Raw genomic sequence first — 4,947 nt, 5'->3', positions numbered from 1 at the left:
CTGGCTGACATTGATTCATTGACACTGTCTGACCAACTGACTGACAGTGACTGGCTGACTGACACTGATTGACAGACTGACACTGACAGACTAATGGATGAACACTGATTGACCAACTAGCTGACAGACACAATGATTGGCCAACTCACATTGGCTGACGGACACTGGCTGATGGACACTGGCTGACTGAAACACTGGGTGGCTGACACTGGGTGACACACTGGCTGACTGACACTGCCTGACTGACACTGGCTGAGACTGGCTGACTGACACACTGGCTGACACATGGGCTGGCTGACACTGGCTGGCTGACACACTGGCTGACATTGGCTGACAGTGGCTGACACACTGGCTGACTGACACTGGCTGACTGACACACTGGCTGACTAACACTGGCTGACACTGGCTGGCTGACACACTGGCTGACATTGGCTGACAGTGGCTGACACACTGGCTGACTGACACTGGGTGACTGACACTGGCTGACACTGGCTGACTGACACACTGGCTGACTAACACTGGCTGACACTGGCTGGCTGACACACTGGCTGACATTGGCTGACAGTGGCTGACACACTGGCTGACTGACACTGGGTGACTGACACTGGCTGACACTGGCTGACTGACACACTGGCTGACTAACACTGGCTGACACTGGCTGGCTGACACACTGGCTGACATTGGCTGACAGTGGCTGACACACTGGCTGACTGACACTGGGTGGCTGACACTGGCTGACTGACACACTGGCTGACTAACACTGGCTGACTGACACACTGGCTGACTGACACACTGGCTGAGTGGCACTAGCTGATGAGGCTGAAGTGTGGCCAGGACCTGTGGCTGGCTGTTGAGAGTGATTACTCAAATAGAATTAGCAAATCACAATGGTTTTGACTGTATCTGCAGTCAGTCTTACTCCTGAATATAACATATAACATATGTGTGATGACGCCAAGCCAGATTAAGCCTCCAAAGTTAGGTTCACAGAGGGCATTCCTGAATGAGGCAGTTACAGAAACATTTCCCCCAGAAAGAAGCCTGGGAAGCACAGGAAGCGGTAGAGGTTCCTCCCCTGACAGGGGTGATTTCCCTGTCTGGCTCCTTGCTGTCTCTCGGAGGCTGTCTCCAGCTCTCAGTTCTTCAGAGCTCCGACTTCACAGCAATCACCCCCCTGCAGTCCTCTGGGCTCTGTGTTTTGCTCCATCACGACCCCTTTCCTCTCCCACTCTTCTCCATCTGTTACCTCCATGCCCCTCAAATCTCCCCATCCTTCAGAGCCCTCCCCTTGAACCTTCCTCCAGGGCATCTGCCCAGGCCATTCCAGTGCCAGGAGCCCTCGTTATTCTCAGATTGCTTCAAAGCTGTCCTTTCAGGGCAGAACTGGTCCACTCTGCTCCACGGCACCCTGCCAACAGTTTTGCTTTGAACGGTTACTTGTTGTGCATTATTGAACTCTTCCCTTACATGTAGGCTGGACTTCCCAGCTGGGCCACACACACTTGGAGGGTTGGGATTCTGTCTCAACCTTGTTCCTGCATCAGCCCTGAGGCCAGTCAGTCAGGACAAGCTCAGAAACAACGCAGGGCTGAATCCCGGTGGGCAAGCCATTGAGTTGGTTATTGGTTTGTGATGGATGCCCATTGTAGGTTGGCTGGGGCTTACATGCAGAGACCTGGGTGGACGCAGTTTCTGTCTCCAGCCTCACAGTGAGTTACCTCCAGGAAAGAGAATGTTCAGAAATGTGCACTGGACCCTGAAGCTTCTGCCCAGATATCATTGCTGCTTCCGGTTCATTGGCCCAAACAAGTCACATGGCAACACCTAGGGACAAGAAAGCATGATCCCACTGTCTGCACATGGTCGACATATTTGGAGAATAGCACTCATGACAATTTGCCTGTGGAGGCCTAGAGAGAAATACTTGCTGATTGAAAATCCTGAAGGAAAGAATGAGTTAAATGAAGCATGGGACATCCACTTAATGGAATACCATAGGGCATTAAAATGATACTGCAGAACGATGCTCATGAGCTAGAAAGTGTTGAGCATGTATAGTGAAGCAAAGAAGTAGGTTATAAAAAAGAATGTCCCGGCCGGGCACAGTGGCTCATGCCTGTAATCCCAGCACTTTGGGAGGCCGAGGCGGGCAGATCATCTGAGGTTGGGAGTTTGAGACCAGCCTGACCAACATGGAGAAACCCTGTCTCTACTAAAAATACAAACATTAGCTGGGCGTGGTGGCTCATGCCTGTAATCCCAGCTACTCAGAAGGCTGAGGCAGGAGAATCGCTTGAACCTGGGAGGCAGAGTTTGCAGTGAGCCGAGATCGTACCACTGCACTCCAGCCTGGGCAACAAGAGGGAAACTCCATTTCAAAAAGAAAAGAAAAGAAAAGAAAAGAAAAGAAAAGAAAAGAAAAGAAAAGAAAAGAAAAGAATGTGCTATATAATCTTTTTTTTATTAAAAATGCTTATTATAGGAAAATACCCAGGGAATTCACTAAAAGATCATCAGAATATATCTCGATAGTGGGATTATGGTTACAGGTGATCCTCTCCCCATTTTGGTTTCTATTTTTCTAAATCTCTGTATTTAATAACTTTGGGTAACATGAAAAAAAAAATTTGCCAAACAATGCTGTATTTAAAAGTATAACATACACATTCATTATTCAGAAAATTCAGTCATCTTTATAAAAAATTATTGTACAGAATGTAGCCATTGTAAAATTCAGGGATCTTGCAGTGACATCTGATAATACCAATGGGGGTCCCTTCAGGCCGTTTTCCACACATACATGCATGTGTGCATTTTTCATGGAAAGAAAATCCTCGTGGGCCAGATCCCTGGCTAGCCCCGGGGCTGTCAGACCTGAACCCATGTGCATAGTCCAGGTGAGCAGCTCACCTGGATGCGCTGCTAGAAAATCCCGTGCGGGCCCTGGCTCCTGGGCCGGGGAGTGAAGGATCTTGGGAGGCTCCTCTGGGAAGCTGCCCACCTGCAGGCTGCAGTGGCTGTTGGGGGAAGACCTGTCAGTCTGCAGCACCCAAGGCCACGAACACTGTCCTGGGTCTGGCATTAGGGACTGTGCTCTCGCCAGTGCAAGGAGGCAGCCCTCACTGTGGGTGCTTAGCTCTGGGGGCCTCATGGTCTGGTCTCTTGGGAGAGAAGGAGGAAGATTTTCCTGTTCTCTGTTTGAGCTCTTTGAGTTGATTCGGCTCCAGGGAATTTTTTTGGCCCAGTCGTTTTCAAAATAGCTCTTCATGATCTGTTTGTGGCAAAGGCAGTAGATTTATGGCGTTGCTGACCTTTGATTTGTTGTCAAAGCTCTGCCTGGGGTCGTGGGGAGGTTTTCCTTTGCTTATTTACCCAGAGTGATTTAGGAACCTCAGTGGCAAGAGGTTTCCCATTTCTTCCACTGTAAGACCTGACCGCATGGCCTCTGCCATCAGGGTTCATACCCTGGGAGAGGCTCAGCCTCATACTTCATACAGAATGGCAGCTATCCTTTGGATGCCCTGGGCCATGTCATTCGTATTCCTTGGCCCACAATCCTTGTTGAGAATCCCCCGAGAGAGTCCCCAGAGCTGCGTGTCTCACTCTGCCCTGCCACCCGCTGCCTGGCCTCTTCCCACCTCCTTTTGGGCTCCTGGCCCTTCACAGCTGAGGGGCTGAGGAAGAGCGGATGAATTATTATAATTCTGATGAGTCAGCCTCCTTCCAGAGTCTGTGAGTGCAGCTGGGGCCTGCAGCACCTGTGGGCAGCTGGGCTGGTGTGCAAGGAAGGAGGGCTCGTGGGGTAGGTTAGCGACACTGAGCAATCCTGGGCCTTGTTCTTTGGGCCTGTAGGTGAGGGCTGTGTACTTTTGTGTGTGGCTTTGTCTGTTCACGGCGGGATAGAGTCTGGAGGAAACTCAGAGGTCCTGAGTGGACGCCTGTCCCGGAGGCTGAGTCACTTGCTGAAGGCACAGGGGGAGCTGGTGGCCCTGGGGCCTTTGTGTCAGTTTAGGGATTTCTACAAAAATATCCTGGTTCATTCATTCATTTATCCAGCACGATATGTGAGGCCCCTGCTATGTGCCCTCTGTTCTAGGACCTGGGGAAAGTCCTGCTGTCACAGAGCTCACCTTCTGGTTCAAAACAAAGCTCGGGTTCATTGTGCACATTCCTTCTACCCTGTTTCTGAATCACCCCGGGATGCTCACAACAGCCTTTGGGATGTGCGCCATTAATTCCATCTCATAGAAGAGAAAACTGAGGTGCTGGAAGCAACTTGCCAAAGGTCGGTTTTGTATTATCTTTATGGTTACTTAGGCTAAAAAGAATTCGGTGTAAAGAGTAGTATGAATGCATTTATAAATAACTCTAGGGGCTGGGTGTGGTGGCTCACGTCGGTAATCTCAACACTTTGGGAGGTAGAGGCGGACAGATCACCTGAGGTCAGGAGTTCGAGACCAGCCTGACCAACATGGAGAAACCCTGTCTCTACTAAAAATGCAAAATTAGCCGGGTGTGGTGGCACATGCCTGTAATCCCAGCTACTTGGGAGGCTGAGGCAGGAGAATCTGTTGAATCTGGGAGGCGGAGGTTGCAGTGAGCCAAGATTGTGCCGTTGCACTTCCCCCTGGGCAACAGGAGCAAAACTCCGTCTCAAAAAAAAAAAAAAAAAAATCTCTAATCTGCATGAAAGATTGGTTGGTTAGCATTTGAAGGCCCCTAATAGGGGTTTCTCTCTCCAGAGGAGGGACCTTAGGAGCCTAATAATTGTTACAGAAATAGATGCTAGAATCTTGTTAATGAGCAGAAACGACATGAGAAATAATTTTTCATTGTTGAAAAGGGGGATGTTCAAAATATGTGCTTAGCTGGCGCAGGCCTCAGACCTACACACAAACCTGTGAAGGTCTGCCAGTAGTGCTTTGGTCTCTTTCTTTTGCTGGCAGA

The 4,947-nt window shown here is 49.8% G+C and overlaps 1 annotated feature.

Annotated features, from left to right (window-relative positions):
* Nucleotides 3,365-4,279: an enhancer, noted in NCBI's record as "H3K4me1 hESC enhancer chr6:149761776-149762690 (GRCh37/hg19 assembly coordinates)". NCBI's record gives its function as "activates a minimal SCP1, AML or CMV promoter by ChIP-STARR-seq in naive H9 embryonic stem cells {active_cell/tissue: H9 hESC(naive)}" and the evidence as "EXISTENCE:reporter gene assay evidence [ECO:0000049][PMID:30033119]".

The sequence above is a fragment of the Homo sapiens genome, chromosome 6, assembly GCF_000001405.40.
Source record: "Homo sapiens chromosome 6, GRCh38.p14 Primary Assembly".
Taxonomy (NCBI): domain Eukaryota; kingdom Metazoa; phylum Chordata; class Mammalia; order Primates; family Hominidae; genus Homo; species Homo sapiens.
This window is presented reverse-complemented; position numbering and strand designations above follow the sequence as displayed.